At 39.3% G+C, this 17,793-nt stretch overlaps 3 annotated features.

Moving 5' to 3' along the window:
* Nucleotides 9,208-9,767: an enhancer, noted in NCBI's record as "NANOG-H3K27ac hESC enhancer chr13:37854517-37855076 (GRCh37/hg19 assembly coordinates)". NCBI's record gives its function as "activates a minimal SCP1, AML or CMV promoter by ChIP-STARR-seq in primed H9 embryonic stem cells {active_cell/tissue: H9 hESC(primed)}" and the evidence as "EXISTENCE:reporter gene assay evidence [ECO:0000049][PMID:30033119]".
* Nucleotides 9,768-10,327: an enhancer, noted in NCBI's record as "H3K27ac hESC enhancer chr13:37853957-37854516 (GRCh37/hg19 assembly coordinates)". NCBI's record gives its function as "activates a minimal SCP1, AML or CMV promoter by ChIP-STARR-seq in primed H9 embryonic stem cells {active_cell/tissue: H9 hESC(primed)}" and the evidence as "EXISTENCE:reporter gene assay evidence [ECO:0000049][PMID:30033119]".
* Nucleotides 16,805-17,306: an enhancer, noted in NCBI's record as "NANOG hESC enhancer chr13:37846978-37847479 (GRCh37/hg19 assembly coordinates)". NCBI's record gives its function as "activates a minimal SCP1, AML or CMV promoter by ChIP-STARR-seq in primed H9 embryonic stem cells {active_cell/tissue: H9 hESC(primed)}" and the evidence as "EXISTENCE:reporter gene assay evidence [ECO:0000049][PMID:30033119]".

The raw sequence follows: 17,793 nt of genomic DNA, 5'->3' as shown, positions 1-17,793 counted from the left end.
AGTATTTTGGGGGGAGACATTTATCTTAAAGTAAATTAGTAAACCATGATGTGCAATGACAGTAATGAACCTTCTCAGGTAGCAGTTCTATGCACTTGGGAGCTAAAACATAAGAAGAAAAAGTCTGGGCCCAAAGGACAACCACATCTAGAGTGTGGACATTTTGAGACATCATTCTGGAAATATATGGAAATAACTGGGAGGTATTGAGATCCTGCTGTTATGCAGATAGAGGCGAACAAGTCAGCAGATATGTGGGTTAAATGTATAATAGGATTTTTTAAAGCTAATAAGTGAAAACATCCTTTTCCCTCCTAACTTTAGAAATGTTTGCGAGATTAAAGCAGGGTTAGGCAGAAGGAAAACAAAGATAGCTTTTATTACTGATGGATTCATGAATGTGGCTTCAGTGTTCAGTAATCACGAGCTTTCTAATACTGGATCCTCAAATTAAACAGAGTTACTCCAGTCACAGGCAATACTGAAGGCTGTAGATCTCTCCACTGGAATAGAAGGAAGGTCATAGATGAATATGTTCTCTCTGCAGGCTGACACTGATGAGATAAAAAGAATTAGGCTACATATGCAAAATTCCTCTTTCCAAACTCACGAGTAATCTTGGGAGCACTGAAGGAGAGAGTTGGATAAGCCACCAAGAGTCTTATACTTGTGGAATTCCTTCCACATGGAAAGACAAACTCTGTGGATAGGACCTTTCTCTCCACCGCCAGCAATGTGCAAAGAGCCTGGCACAGGGCCTATCATGTAACAGACTACAAAACAACCTACCGTGCTCCAGGCACTTACTTGCTAACAACATGAGTTGGATACCAAGAAATATTTGTCTTCCTTACTCCCAGAACACAGTATATACTGGATATTTGCTGAATTCTACTCTTCCTCCTTTTTCAAATGGTTAGAAGAAATATGCTTCTTAAAAGTAACAATTTGTAGTAAATAAGGCTATTTAGCAACTCTACAATTACAAAGGTGATGTGAAAAAGATTTCTACCTCCCAGTTGGATGATCCATGGAGGTAAGGACAGAGGAGCAATAGAGACCATATTCCAATTCAAAGTAACTATTATCAAGTGCTCACTGTGTCAAGCACTAAGCTAATACTTTCATAAATGATTGCATTTTTTTACAATTAAATACTTAACCACATCACAGGAAGAAAAATTGAGATGCAAGAGTGTTAAGTAACTTATTCAAGGAGTCATAAAAAAGAAGAGGTAGAATAATATTTTGAACTAAGTATGACCCAGACTCATTTCATTCCACTATATTGCACACAACATCAGCATATAGATATAAAGACAATTATAGCTTTTTAAAATGGATTTTGTGGGAAAAGCAAAAAAAAAAAAACTTGTGCTACTTTGAATCATACTATTAGGTAAGTTAAAATAATCTACTTAATATTATACCAGTTCTTCTAAAACTAGTTTTAAAGGATTTTTAAATCCTCAATGCATATTTTTAAAAAAACAATTTAAAAGACGAAGAGCTATATGGCCAATATATCAATAAATAGTCCTTGTTTCCCTTTAAATCATGCTGTATATGTTCTTCTTCAAACCCAAACCTTGGATAGTTACCAAAATTAGAGAAATTTTCCTTTACACTGCTCAGATACAGGATAACCCAGTGATCCCACTCTCTTGCAGGCATTTCACATGAGACATTTTAAACACAGGTGGAGATAATCTACGGATGCAAACCAACATAAAATCTGAAGTGGAAGAAAGCAGAGCCCCTCTTTTGTGAAGTGATAGCGCAGAGAAGCAGTACAGAGCGTCTAGAAGGAATATCAGGAACCTTTTGGCATAGCCTGCTTTGATTGTTCCCAGGAGCTTCCTTGGCTGTTCTGCACATTTCCTCTTAGCCTTATTTTCCACCACAACACTTCCCAGAGTGATTAGAAGCAAATAACAATGCCAGGCAAGTCCAAGTACACCGCAGATCCTCCCAAACAGTTGACACTTCCTGCTGCTTTCATTGGCAACTGCATAATGTAGCTTACTAGACAGATTTTAATTTGAGTTCTACTCATGCAATAATTTGAAATTTTTATTGATTCGTTTTCAAAATTATTTCTAGTTTCCTATTTAGAAAGAGCAAGTTATACTTTGGGTTAAGAGACAGAGGTTTTACATAGTGCTAGCCTTAAACATAAATGGAATAAGCCATAATCTGAAGAGTATTATTTGAGAGACATCCACAGAAGTCTAAATTATCTACATTTTTTTGCCTTGACATTTCTCACCTTTTTTATCCACTTTATCTTATATATATTCATTGCTAGAGTCTCTCATTTGAGTTGGAAAAATAAAACAAATTATCTCTGAAAGCTATTAAAACACACGTTATATAGAAAGCAATAAATAGAGAAAGATTATACACAAGAAGATTCCATATTGCATTGAGAAATCATGGTAAATTTCTTTATGTGGCTACAAATATTTCATCTTTAGGAGCAGAGATCGAGGAGAACATATGTAGAGTGCACCGAATTAGAGAAAACATCCGAGCCTATTACTTTGTTAAGTTTGCCAAAGAAGTTTTTCACATAGTTGTGGTAGTTATGTCATGTCTCTTGTTTCTAAGACCTGTGAGTACATTAAACTTTGTTATTTTGAGTCTGTCCTATGTCCCCTCTTGTGGAAACACCTTACTGATAATCACAAAAAAAAAAAACAGGAGGACTATGGACATAGCAGGGAGTGACTTGAGAAATTCCTAACTTCCTGCTTATGTTGACCATGAGTCTCTGTACAAGCAAAATAAAAACTAAACAGAGTTGTAAACTACCAGGACAGTGAAGGTATGTCCCAATTTTTACACAGAGACACTCAAAAAAGGTTGAGAGACAAGTTGGGTAAGGTAATAAGAACATCTCTGTCCAAGCTTTGGCTTACCACAAGCTTAACGAAGTAGAGACTTCAGTGGTCACACATGAGAAAGAATAGAGACTTTAGAAAATTAGTTCAGGAAAGTCACTAAACAAACAAAATCAACAGCAACAACTACAATATAAAAACAGCAATAAAACACCTTAGAGAGGAGATATGAGTTCCAGAGTTGCCTCATTATATTATCTTAAATGTTCAGTTTTCAACAACAACAACAACAAAAATATGAGACATGCAAAAGACAGGAAAGTACAACTCATATGCAGGGGAAAACCAGTCTCTTAGGAAGTCCATGTTGTAGACTTACTAGACAAAGATTTTTAACTCCTTATGATAAAGAAATAACAGAAACCATGTCTAAAGAACTAAATGAAAGCATAAGAATGATATTTTACCAAATAGAGAACATAAATTAAAATATATAAATTATTTTTAAATGAGCCAAATAGAAATTCTAGAGTTGAAAAGAATAATAATTTAATTTGTAAATTCACTAGAGGGGCTCAACAGCAGATCTGAGCTGGCAGAAGAAATAATCAATGAACTTGAATATAGGCAAATTGAGATTATCCTGCATGAGTAGCAGAAAAAAAAAAGAACAAGAAGCATGAAGAAAGCCCCCAGAGACCAATGGTACACTATCAAACATAGCAACAAACACATAATAAGAGTCTCAAGGGAAAAGAAAAGAGAAAACTGACAGAAAGAATATTTGAGGGAAACAATAACTGAAAACATCCCAACTTGGATAACAAACATCAACCCATACATATAAATAGCTCAACAAACTACAGGTAGGATAAACTGAAAGAGATTACCTAGATACAAAATAATCAAACTGTCAAAAGGCAGACAGAGAACTTTTAAAGCAGTAAAAGAGGTGATTCAACATTTAAAAATAATCATCAATAAGATGTATAGGCAACAGTTCATCAGAAACAATGGAGGCCAGATGGCAGTGGAATTGCATATTCAAAGTCATGAAAGAAAAAGACAGCTAATCAAGAATCCAGGAAAATAACCCTTCAAAAACAAGGACTAAATTAAGACATTTCCAGGTAAACAAAACACTGAGAGCACTTGCAGCCCTCTAAGAAACAATAAGGAAGCCCTGCAGGCTGAAATGAAATGATTGTTCCCAGGGGCTCCTAGGGAGCCCTGGACACTGGACAGAAACTTGAATCCATACAAAGAAATAAAAAACATCAGTAATGTTAACTATGTAGGTAAACATAAAATACAGTATAGATATCTTTTTCCTTTGCAACTATTTTCTTTTTCTGAGTAATTTAAAAGAAAATTGCATAAAGCAATATTTATAAAACGGTGTGAATGGACTTGTAATGTTTAAAGATGTATTTTATGACAATAGCACAAGTGGGGAGGACATGGAGCTCTATACAGGAACAAAGTTGTGTATACTATTAAAACTAGTTGGTGTTATTTTTGAACTAGATTGATATAAATAAACTGTTAATTGTCACCCCTAGGAAAATTCCGTAAAAATAAGTATGTCTAGATCTAACAGATATCTGCAGGACACTCCACAAAAACACCAGAATACACATTTTTCTCAAGTGCACATAAAACATTACCCAGGATATGCCTTATTTTAGGCTATAGAACACCTTTAATAAATTTAAAATAATTTAAAAGGATTAATTTTAAATAATTTAAATTACACAAAGTATGTTTTCCAACCACAATAGAATTAAATTATAAATCAATAATATAACTTTGGAAAATTCACAAATATGTAAAAATTAAACAATACACTGCTAAATAAACAAGGAGTTAAAGAAGAAATTGCCAGGAAATGAATCACAAAGAGCAAATAAAAAATCTGGTCTGAAATTAGAAAATACTTTTTAAGATAAATGAAAATAAAACATACCAAACCTATAGAATGCATCTAAAGCATTGATTACAGACAAATTACAGCTTTAAGAATATTATGCTATTTGAAAAGTAAAAATCTAATTATTAAAAAAAAGATAAATAACCCAACTTTTCACCTTAAGAACATAGAAACAAAAGGGCAAACTAAGCCTAGGAAGAAAATAATTAAATAACAACAGAAATAAATTAAATAGAAAATAGAAAATAATAGAGAAAATCAGAGAAACCAAATACAAGTTGTGCATAACCTTTTCTAATTGGATAGCCCCAATAGCAGGAATGACCACCCAGAATATACACATGAGCAAAACATCAGTAATACCATCTGGCAACTTCTCTGAGTAATATCAAGAGTGCATGTATAGGAGGAGAAGGCCACTATCATTATAACCTAAATAGCCCCAGTGGTGGATCCTGCACCCTATCCTACAGATGTTCCAGTTTTGACAGGAGGAGTTTGCATTTAGGAGGACATTTTGCTCCTGCAGTGTCAGAGTCCAATTGCAGAAATGCATCAAGTCTAGATTAATAAAGTTAGGTACTTGAGGTGTCAGAAAAGTCTATGGTTAGGGAAACATCCATTTGTGGCACAGCAATCAGAGCATTACTTAATTTTCTGGCATGAAGGGTTTAAAATCAAAATAGTCAAAAATAACAACAGCTACAATTAGTGGCTAAGGAAGACATAATAGATAAAGAAGCAAATTACAGCCACAAAATATGAATTATGAGTGGAGGGGAAAAGTCTAGAGTATTTTTATGCAATCAAAATTAAGTTGCTATCAGTTTAAAATAGTCTATTATAACTATAGCACTTTTAATCCTAGCCCCATGGTAACCACAAAGAAAGAAATTGCAGCAGATACACAAATAAGAAGGAGAAAGAAAACAAAGTTTAGCACCACAGAAAACCACCAAACTACAGAGGTAAACAATAAGATAGGAAGAAAAAATCAAAGGCTGTGCAAAGAAACTAGAAATAATTAACAAAATGGCAAGAGCAAGTCTTTATCAGTAATAACCTTGAACGTAAATTGATTAAATTCTTCAACTAAAAAATGTATAGTAGCCAAATGGATTTTTTTCAAGACCCAAATATGTGCTGCCAAGAAGAGACTCACCTCGCTGCTAAAAACAAACAGAATAAAAGTGAAGAAATGGAAAAAGATATCTCATGCAAACAGAAACCAGATAAAATAGACATTAAAAATTGTAAAAAAAGAGACAAAGAAAGTCATTATACAATGATAAAGGGACCAATTTTACAAGAAAATATAACAATTGTAAATATATAAGCACCCAACACCAGAGCACCCAAATAAATAAAACAAACATTACTGGACCTAAGAGAATAGATAGCCTGCAATACAATAAATAAAAGTAGAAGACTCCAAAACCCTACTTTCAACAATGGCCAGATCATCTAGACCAAAAATTAACAAAGAAACATCATAGACTTAAATTGCACCACAGACCAACACAACCTAACAGACATTTAGTTCAGGAACAATTCAAAACCATTACATTATAATTCAAAACAATTTACAGAACATTCTATCAAATAACTGCAGAATAAATACTCTTTGTAACTGCACATAGAACAGCCTCCAGTTTAAATTAGATGGTAGGTGACAAAACAAGTCTTAACAAACTTAAGAAGACAGAGATTGTATCAAGTCTCTTTTCTGACTACATGGTATAAAACTAGAAACCAACTACAAGAAAACTCTGGAAACTTTACAAATACATGGAAATGAAACAATGTGCTCTTAAATTAGCAATGAATCTCTCAAAAAATTAAAAGAAACATAAAAAATTTCCTTTAGATAAACAAGAATAAAAACACATCAAATCAAAACCTATGGGACACAGCAAAAGTGTTTTAAGAGGAAAGTTTATAGCGATAAACACCTGCATGGAAAAAACAAGAAAGTTTTTTTCCTTTTTTTTTTTTTTTTTTTTTTTGAGATGGAGTTTCGCTCTTGTTGTCCAGGCTAGAGTACAATGGCACGATCTCGGCTCACCACAACCTCCACCTCCCGGGTTCAAATGATTCTCCTGCTTCAGCCTCCCGAGTAGCTGGGATTACAGGTATACATCACTATGCTGGGCTAATTTTTTGTATTTTTAGTAGAGATGGGATAACCTAATGATGCATCTCAAGGAACTAGAAAAACAAGAACAAACTGACCCAAAATTTGGTAAAAGGAAAGAAATAATAAAGATCAGAGCAGAAACAAACCACAGAGACTGAAAAAGCAATTCAAAAGATTAACAAAATGAAGAGATTATTTTGTGAAAAGGTAAAATCTACAAACATTTAGCTAGCCTAAGGAAAAAAAAAGACTCAAATAAATAAAATCAGAAATGAAAAAAGACATTACAACTGACATCACAGAAATACAAAGGGTCATAATGGACTACTCTGATCAGCTATGCCAATGAATTGATAACATAGAAGAAATGACAAATTATTGGATACATACAATCTACCAAGATTGAATTATGAAGTAATAGAAAATCTAAGCAGACCAATAACAAGTAAGGAAATTAAATCAGTAATAAGAAGTCTTCCATTAAAGGAAAGCCCAAGACTCAATGGCTTGATTGTTGAATTCTACCAAACATTTAAAGAAGAAATAATGCTAATTCTCCTCAAACTATTTTAGAAAATTAAAGAGAGAGGAATACTTCTGAACTCATTTTATGAAGCCAGCATTACACTGATTCCAAAATCATACAAGGACACTACAAAAAAAGAAAACTACAGGCCAATATCCTAGATGAATATAGATGCAAAAATTCTTAGCAAGATACAAGCAGCACACTGGATCCAATAGCACATTAAAAATATCATTCACTATTATCAAATGGAATTCATCCCAGGGATGCAAGTATAATTTAACATACACAAATCAATAAATGTGATACACCATGTTAACAGAAAGACAAAAATCATGCGATCAGTTTAATAAACACAGAAAATGCATTTAACAATCTTTAACATCCCTTCATAATAAAAACTCTAAATGAATTAGGTGTAGAGGTATGTACCTCAAAACAATAAAGGCCATATATGACAAATCCACAGCTAACATCATACTGAATAGGTAAAAGCTGAAAACTTTCCCTCTAAGATCAGGAACAAGCCAAAGATGCCCACTTTTACCATTTCTATTCAACATAGTATTGGAAGTTCTAGCCAGAGCAGCTAGGTAAGAGAGAGAAATGATAGGCATCCAAACTGGAAAATAGAAAGCCAAATTGTCCTTTTTTGCAGAAAACATGATCACATTATATAGAAAACCCTAAAGACCCCATGAAAATACTGTTACAACTAACAAACAAATTCAGTAAAGTTGCAGGATACAAAGTCAACGTACAAAAAATCAGTAGCATTTCGATATGCTAATAGTGAACTATCTGGAAAAAATCAATAAAAAAATTTCAATTACAATAGTTATAAAAGGTAATAATATACCTAGAAATAAATGTAACCAACTAGGTTAAAAAAAATCTCTACACTGAAAACTATAAAACTTTGATGAAAGAAACTGACACATATAAATGAAAAGGTATCTCATGCTCATGGATTGGAAGAATTACTATTGTTAAAATACCCATACCACCCAAAGCGATCTACAGTTTTAATGCAATTTCTATCAAAATACCAAAGGCATATTTTGCAGAAATAGAAAAAAAATCCTAAAATTCATATGAGACTCCAAAAGGGCCTAAATATATAAAGCAATCCTAAACAAAAAGAACAAACTAGAGGCATTTCACTACCTGACTTCAAAGTATACTACAAAGCAGTAGTAACCAAAACAGCTTGATACTGGCATAAAAACAGACACATAGGCTGATGGAATAGAATAGAGCCCAGAAATAAATTCATGCACCTTACAGCCAATTGATTTTTTTTTTTAATTTTCATTTTTATTTTTATTGATCATTCTTGGGTGTTTCTCACAGAGGGGGATTTGGCAGGGTCATAGGACAATAGTGGAGGGAAGGTCAGCAGATAAACAATTGCACAAAGGTCTCTGGTTTTCCTAGGCAGAGGACCCTGAGGCCTTCCACAGTGTTTGTGTCCCTGGGTACTTGAGATTAGGGAGTGGTGATGACTCTTAACGAGCATGCTGCCTTCAAGCATCTGTTTAACAAAGCACATCTTGCACTGCCCTTAATCCATTTAACCCTGAGTGGACACAGCACATGTTTCAGAGAGCACAGGGTTGGGGGGTAAGGTCACAGATCAACAGGATCCCAAGGCAGAAGAATTTTTCTTAGTACAGAACAAAATGAAAAGTCTCCCATGTCTACTTCTTTCCACGCAGACACGGCAACCATCTGATTTCTCAATCTTTTCCCCACCTTTCCCCGCTTTCTATTCCACAAAGCCGCCATTGTCATCCTGGCCCGTTCTCAATGAGCTATTGGGCACACCTCCCAGACGGGGTGGTGGCCGGGCAGAGGGGCTCCTCACTTCCCAGTAGGGGCGGCCGGGCAGAGGCGCCCCTCACCTCCAGGATGAGGCGGCTGGCCGGGCGGGGGGCTGACCCCCCCCACCTCCCTCCCGGACGGGGCGGCTGGCCGGGCGGGGGGCTGACCCCCCACCTCCCTCCCGGACGGGGCGGCTGGCCGGGTGGGGGGCTGACCCCCCCACCTCCCTCCCGGACGGAGCGGCTGGCCGGGCAGAGGGGCTCCTCACTTCCCAGTAGGGGCGGCTGGGCAGAGGCGCCCCTCACCTCCCGGACGGGGCAGCTGGCCGGGCGGAGGGCTACCCCCCCACCTCCCTCCCGGATCGGGCGGCTGGCCGGGTGGGGGGCTGACCCCCCCACCTCCCTCCCGGACGGGTGGCTGGCCTGGCGGGGGGGCTGACCCCCCCACCTCCCTCCCAGACGGGGCAGCTGCCGGGCGGAGGGGCTCCTCACTTCTCAGACGGGGTGGTTGCCGGGCGGAGGGTCTCCTCCCTTCTCAGATGGGGTGGCTGGGCAGAGACGCTCCTCACCTCCCAGATGGGGTCGTGGCCGGGCAGAGGCGCTCCTCACATCCCAGACGGGGCGGCGGGGCAAAGGCGCTCCCCACATCTCAGACGATGGGCGGCCGGGCAGAGAAGCTCCTCACTTCCTAGATGGGATGGCGGCCGGGCAGAGATGCTCCTCACTTTGCAGACTGGGCAGCCAGGCAGAGGGGCTCCTCACATCCCAGACAATGGGCGGCCAGGCAGAGATGCTCCTCACTTCCCAGACGGGGTGGCGGCCGGGCAGAGGCTGCACTCTGGGCACTTTGGGAGGCCAAGGCAGGCGGCTGGGAGGTGGAGGTTGTAGCGAGCCAAGATCACACCACTGCACTCCAGCCTGGGCACCATTGAGCACTGAGTGAACCAGACACCGTCTGCAATCCCGGCACCTCCGGAGGCCGAGGCTGGCGGATCACTCGCGGTTAGGGGCTGGAGACCAGCCCGGCCAACACAGCGAAACCCCGTCTCCACCAAAAAAATACGAAAACCAGTCAGGCGTGGCGGCGCACGCCTGCAATCGCAGGCACTCGGCAGGCTGAGGCAGGAGAATCAGGCAGGGAGGTTGCAGTGAGCCGAGATGGCAGCAGTACAGTCCAGCTTCGGCTCGGCATCAGGGGGAGACCGTGGAAAGAGAGGGAGAGGGAGACCGTGGGGAGAGGGAGACCGTGGGGAGGGGGAGAGGGAGACCGTGGGGAGAGGGAGAGGGAGACGGAGACCGTGGGGAGAGGGAGACCGTGGGGAGAGGGAGACCGTGGGGAGAGGGAGAGGGAGAGGGAGAGGGAGAGGGAGAGGGAGAGGGAAAGTAATACTTTTTAAGACAATCTTATCCAGCCAATTGATTTTTTGAGAAAGGTACCAAAAACACACATTGGGGGAAAGGCAGCCTCTGTAGTAAATGATGCTGGGAAAATTAGATATGTACATGCAGAAGAATGCGACTAGATCCCTACCTCTCAACATATACAAAAATCAACTCAAAATAAACCAAATACTTAAATGTAAAACTTAAAACTATGAAACTACTAAAAGAAAATGTTGGGGAACTCTTCACAACATCAGGCTGGGCAAAGATTTTTAAAGTAAGACCTCAAAAGCACAGGCAACAAAAGTAAAAACAGACAAATAGAATTACATTAATGTAAAAAGCTTCTGCATGTAAAGAGACAACCTACAAAATGGGAGAAAATACTTGCAAACTACACATCTGACAAGAGGTAAATATCCAAACTTTACAGGAAACTTAACAGCAAAAAAATAAGCAACCAACTTAAAAAAAGGGTGAAAGACCTTAATAGACATTTCCCAAAAGAAGACATACACGTGGCCAACAGGTATATTGAAAAATACTCATTACTAATCATCAGGAAAATGCAAATCAAAAGTACAGTGAGATATTACTTCATTATAATGGCCATTATGAAAAAGACAAAAGAAAACAAGTGTTAGCAAGGATGTGGAGAAAAGGAAACACATACTGTTGATAGGATTATAAACTAGTACTGCCATTATTAAAAAAAAGAGTATGGAGATTCCTCAAAAAATTAAAAATAAAACTATCATATGATTCAGCAATTACCCTCCTGTGTATATACCAAAAGAAAATAAAATCAGTGTTTTGAAGAGATATCTGCACTCCCATGTTTATTGCCACACTATTTACAGCAGCCAGGATATTAAATTAACCTAAGTGTCCAACAACAGATGAATAGATAAATAAAGTGTGATAAATACACACAAGGGAATTCTATTCAGCCATGAAAAAGAATAACATCATTTGTGACAGCATGGATGAATCTGTAGTACACCACGTTAAGTGAAATGAGCCAGAAAGGAAAAGAAAAATACTGCATGATCTCATTTTTATGTGGAATCTAAAAAAGAAAAAAGTTATAGAAGCAGAGAGTAGAATAGCGGTTACCAGAGACTGCTTGGGAGGGGAAGAGGGGATGATGGGGAGAGGTTGGTCAACGGGTACAAAGTTACCAATTAGATATAAGGAATAAATTCTGGTGTTCTTTTGCACAATAGGGTGACTATTGTTAATAGTAAAATATTGCATACTATAAAATAGCTATAAGAGAGGCTTTGAAAATTCTCACCACAAAAAAAATGGTAAATGCATGAAGTTATGGATATACTAACTACACTGATTTGATCATTATGTAACATAGATATGTATCAAAATATCAAATTGTACCCCATAAATATGTATGATTAAAATGTGTCAAATAAATAAATAAAGTTAACCAGAAGAAGCCATCATACAACTAGGGCCATTCATGTTCCCCCATTGGGTCAGTGGAAGTAGCAGCTTTTGGCAGACAGAGGGACATTCCTGAGACCTTTTCATAGAATTGAGAAATCTCATCCAGAGTTTTTCTCACTCCTGGATGAGTCATTTTCATTTCACTAAAGAGAATTCCTGAGCCACCCCTATCTTACACTTGAGGCTTCTGCTTGGCTCCTCAACTTGATTGGGATTTCTGATAATGAGAGTATTTCAAAGCCATGAGCCATGCATTCAAAATCCACTAAGGCCCAATAAGAAGCCAATAATTGTCTCTCAAAGGGTGTATAGCTTTTAGGTGATTCCGGGAGCTCATGGGTCTAAAAGTCCAGTGAGAATTACCAGCCTATGGTGGTGCCCTTCTGCCACAGATTCTAGTCGGCAAACAGAGATTGCTAAAACCTGTAACTCAAAGGGCAATTTGGATATGTGGGGCCCGGGGGAGGGCAGCCTGAATGTCTCATTGGAGGACTTCCAGAACATCCTATGGGTCATGGCCTCACTCAAAGATAGCAGCCTGTCTGGTAATTCAATAGAAAGGTACTATCAAGATTCTCACATACCTTCAATAAACTGGAAGAATGCCAGTAGCCACATAGGTCCTCCAATCACTAGGCTTTTTTTAAAATCTGTTGGGGCAGACAAGGCCAAAACTTGGCAATCATCTCTGGAATGAGACATTCTTCCCCTTTCCAGATTAGGCCCAGCAATTTCACTTGGGTACTAAGTCCTTCTACATTGTCTGTGTTAATGGCCTAGCTCTGTTACTGCACATGGGTCAACAGGATATCCACTTTTTACCAGGCAGTTCCCTTGTCTGGGCTAACCAAGAGATCAACAGAGTGAAAGGCCAGTGCTCCACTGGGAAGCAGGACTTTTACTAGGGCATGGCATACCCACCGATAGCAGGTAGACAAGGAGGTTAGTTACCTTTGTGAATGGACATTAGAGGCATGTTGCTCCCACTTCCAAATAAAGGCAAATTGATCCTGATCACCTAGATGGATGATTAGGATCAATTCATCAGTTATGCTGAAGAAGCCATTTGAGATGTCAATTGCTGTACACCAAGTTCTCTCAGATTGGGCAACAGCATCTGTGATAGTCACATTAGGTTCTGCCAGTGCCAAAGCCAGCACTGTGTTGAGCCACCTCCATGGTGATTTTTCAGCTACCCAGTGCCTTCCCTTACACGCAGGCCAGCTGGAACTACTGAGTGGAGAAATAGTTTCCAGGGGATTTTGGCTTCCTTAAGCTTGGCAGTGTGAGGGCAGTTCTTTCTTTTGTTTCCCCAAGCTGTCAATGTCGTTTGGGAAAGACAATGGTACTAGGCACCTGTAGTCAAGTAGCTCATGGTCTTCTACATACCCTATTAACACAATCTTAATTGCAGAAATTCCAATCAGAGTTTGAGGAGACACTTAGTCATGAATGCACATAGACAATACATCGATACCATTAATACTTTTGGTAGTGGACGCCATAACAATGGAGGTTTGCAGGAGCCTGAAAGTACCCAAGCAAGAGTCTCAGTGATGCTAGCCTTAGCATCTAAAACCTAAACAGAACCTAAAACCAGACAGCATCGTCTGCTTCACCCACACTCTAGTACCCAGGGTTGTGGAGATCACAGTCACCTGTGCACCGGTATCTGAAAGGTCCAAGAAGTGCAATGGGCCCTCACCCATTGACCCCTGACCTTGGCATGGAAACTCTACTCCCCCCAGGGATGGGGAGATCTCAGCTTGACCCCCTAGTCCTCTTTCTTTTTGAAAGTTTAGAGGTCTGGGTAAGGATTGATGTGGTCTCTGGTTCCTCCAACTCACTGGGAAGAAAGGAAAGAATAGCTCTTGTCACAGGGGCTGTCTTCACACAGAACCTAGCAAAGCTGACCATCAGAACCCACAACAGCCCAGTAGCTGGTCCTGAGTTCCTCGGTAGGAAACTCAGTCTTCTCCATTAAGTCCCATTATCAAGTGACCAAATCAGAGATATTTTTGAGAAGGCCCTTCCCCAAGTCACGCAGGAGAGGATGACCTGTTACTACTCTTACAGTACTCCTTCTCCTGAATGGAAGACAGAGACCATGGAAAAGGAATCATGAAGACAGCAGGAAGAAGTAGCTAGAAATAAAAACAAAAACAAGAAGCTGAGAACAGACTGCAGACCCTAGAAGAGAGGCCACAGTTGCCCTTGTCCGAGGAGATCAATTTTGGGTGGCCATTGAATGAATGGGGCTGATCTAGAATGACACAGTTCCTGCTCCCCACATGGCTGTCTAAGGGACTGCCATGGTTTCACATACCTCCCCACATCTTCTTACCATAAAATCCTACAAACTAAAGAAACCAAGGATGTTTGTCTTCCTTACAACTAACATAGGGAACCACAAATCCTTTGACATTGTTGCAGTCTAAAGTTTGTGGGAAGATATGGTGATGTCAGCCAGTCAGTTCTTGCAGAGGTTTTTGTACAAAGCTAACAAACTACAACTGGACCCTCAGAAAAATCACTTTACAAACTATATAGAGACTGGATTGGAGGGGCTAAAAATAGGTAGAAGGAGAGAACACTAGAAGAGAGGAATTTTAATGCCTGGTGTCGCTGTGTGATGTTATTTTTTCTGCTCTTTTCTTACTGAGTTTGTATCTGTGGGAAGCCAACTGAATACTAGCAGTTACAGCATAAATGTGAGCAATTGCATAACCTCGATAAATCCAGATGAGAAATCTGTTTTATCGTCAATCATAGGGCTTTTCCCATCTCTTCTTTATTTCACTTGACCTAAACAGAGACAGTCAGACTGTGCATGAATTAAACTATACAGGTGAGAAACATTAAAACTAAGACAGAAATTTGAAACAAAGCAGTGTAATAAAGAAACTTTCAACTATGGCATTGGAATAACTCAAGAAACAATGGCCCCAGCGATACAGTAATAATTGTCGTTCACTTTCTTTCCCCATTCAGAGTAATGAATTGGAATGCAGGCATATATCTTCAGTACAGTAGTCCCCAAGGACAAATATATAAAGTTTTCTAAGTCTATATAAAGAAAGGCTGAGTCTAAATATTTTATAAGATCTTTAATTTAGTTATTTTTAAGCTTTACCTTTCATCTTCACTAACATTTCTAGTTTATACATTTATTCCCCTTGGGTTCCAAATCTTTGGTGGAAGTTTCAAGAAAGCTATTTAAATGTTCAATCTAAACAATAATACTCTAAAAAGCAGCCAAATGAAATAAACTGGGGAATTTTCTGATTAAAAAACCCAAAGAAATTGCAACCAGCTGTTCTTCTTCCACCATCAATTTATTTTCTCTGAAAAGCGAACAAAAAGAAACAGGCTGTGGTAGAAAAGATTGGTTTAGACTCTCTGATAGTAAGACCTGTTAAAGAGAAGAACAGTCAACTGAAAGGGAGAGAGAACCAAAGAGAGAAAGAGAACTAAATTTGTAAAGCACTTTTAAGAGCTGATCACCTCTAAACATACGGATTCTCCTTTAAAATTTAAGAGACTCCATAAATAGTTTCCCTTTTCCTAGCCAAAGATCAGAACCAATTAAAAAACAAAACAGTTTATCCAGAAAGAGATGGAAATATCACCTTCATCATTGATGAAGTCTATGGGAGAGAACATGGCCAGGTGTGTTGAGTCCTGGAATTAGGCAGGTTACCCCAACTGGACCAGTGATCAGTCCAGGATCCTTATCTGTACAATCTCATACCATAGCATAAAGTATAGACAGGACAGGAGTGGGTCCAAGAGAAAGAAGAGAGAATAAAGGCTTGAGCTAAGCATGCTTAGTTTCTCTCCCTAATCTACCATCAATAAGCCACATCTTCCCTGGAGAGATGCTGATGGCAGAATGAGGCCATCTGCTAGTGAAACTAAAGCCTCTTTCACTGGGAAGAATCTACAAGGCAAGGAATACGTGCTGTCCTCCCCAACTCCCTCAAAACTTACCACCACTTGATCATAATTAGCTCCCTGAGGCAAGGCTCAAAAAACTTTTAAGTTACTTATTCAAGACCTTTAAATATCAAGTGGTAGAATCAAGATTTGAAATCCAAACCACCTGACTCCAAACTTTTTTCTACTGCCCAGGATTGTTTCATCTTTTTCTTAAAGTATTATAGAATGAAACTGTTTGAACTGTTCCAAAGAGCCATAAGGGATTTTAAGATTCCTTCTAGCTCTCAACCAGTTGTAACAAGACACAAATATTTAATCTATTTTTAATATGAAATCTCAATTGTATTCCATGACTTTATTGTTTTGGCTAAGAAGGAGGACAACCTTCCCCTCAATGGAATTTGAATCTTTGCTCTCAGATGTGAGGAATAAGAATCAGATACTGTGTTTCTAAAGAGGAAGCCTTTCTACCTAAAGGGAGAGGAAGGTGAGTTTTCTGTTTTTCTACATTTGTTTTTGGAAGCAATTTTAAACGAGAGATTGCAGACCTTCCAGATCAGATATCAAGGTCAATGTTATGAGAGAGAAGAAAAAGAATAAGTTTCTTGCATAGGGAAATAAAACCAGGGAAGAGTAGAAAGTGGGGAGCTTGGGAAGGAATGGAAGGAAGACAGATGGAGAAAGGAACCTAATTGCCATGGGCCACCAAACTAAGAGAGTTACAAAAGTGGAGTGTTGCTTTGGGAGGTTCTGGCAAGTGACCCAGGCAAGAACTGCTGCTGTGGCCTCTGCTCAAGTCTAGAAGCTCTGTTGTTGAACAGTCTTAGCCAGCTTGCTACACTGTCTGCATCGAGTAAACGAACTTCCCTTTACCTTCAAAGAGTACCTTAACCCATTATTGTGGAAATGAGAACCACACACAAGCTAAGCTTCAGCAACCCATTGAGGACACCCCATGAATACCTAATGGATTGGTGAAGAGAGGTTCTGTCCTCTGAACTTGAAAGCCAAAATGAGTACGCCTAGGCACCCCATGAGATGGAACTAGCACCCCTAGTACCTGAGGGCCCAAATGGGCATGGATACTAAGATGCTACAGTCAGGCAGGCAACAGAGCTGAGAGTTTGAGCCCAGGCTCTAAAAATAGACTTGCCTGGGTGCTTATCCACCTCAGACACTTGCTAGCTGTGTGACCATGAGCAGTTGCACAATCCCTTCATATCTCAGTTTCTAAACCTGTACAATGGGGATAAAAAAACAATGCCAACTTCACAGGATCAATATCAGGATTTCAAAAGTTAATATATATAAAGAACTTAAAGCCATGCCTGACACATAAGAAACACTCGGTAAATGATATTGCTGCCATCTAGTATCTGGATTAAACTTGAGAATCATCACCAGTATTCCAGAATTGTTAGCACTATTCCATAACCTAATAAGTCCAATAATATTTAGAAAATCAAAAGAACTGATCTTACCTATTGAGTAAGGGACCAGTTGTCTGTGAAACTTCAGCATCTATTATTACAGTTCCTTTCTGAAATATGTTTCCACAATGTGGTCCAGGAGACAGCGCATAGCCCTTGGAGCCAGGCAGACAACCCAGAGGATCCAGCAGCCTATCTTTTGCCAAAGTCACTGTCATGGGTAGAATCCTGCCTCAGCCTGGGAGCCAGCTGCCATCTATGGACTAAGCCTGTTTTTACCTACCTATGCCAAGAAGAAGGCCTAAAGAGAAGCCAAAG

Source organism: Homo sapiens, chromosome 13, assembly GCF_000001405.40.
Source record: "Homo sapiens chromosome 13, GRCh38.p14 Primary Assembly".
NCBI lineage: Eukaryota > Metazoa > Chordata > Mammalia > Primates > Hominidae > Homo > Homo sapiens.
This window is presented reverse-complemented; position numbering and strand designations above follow the sequence as displayed.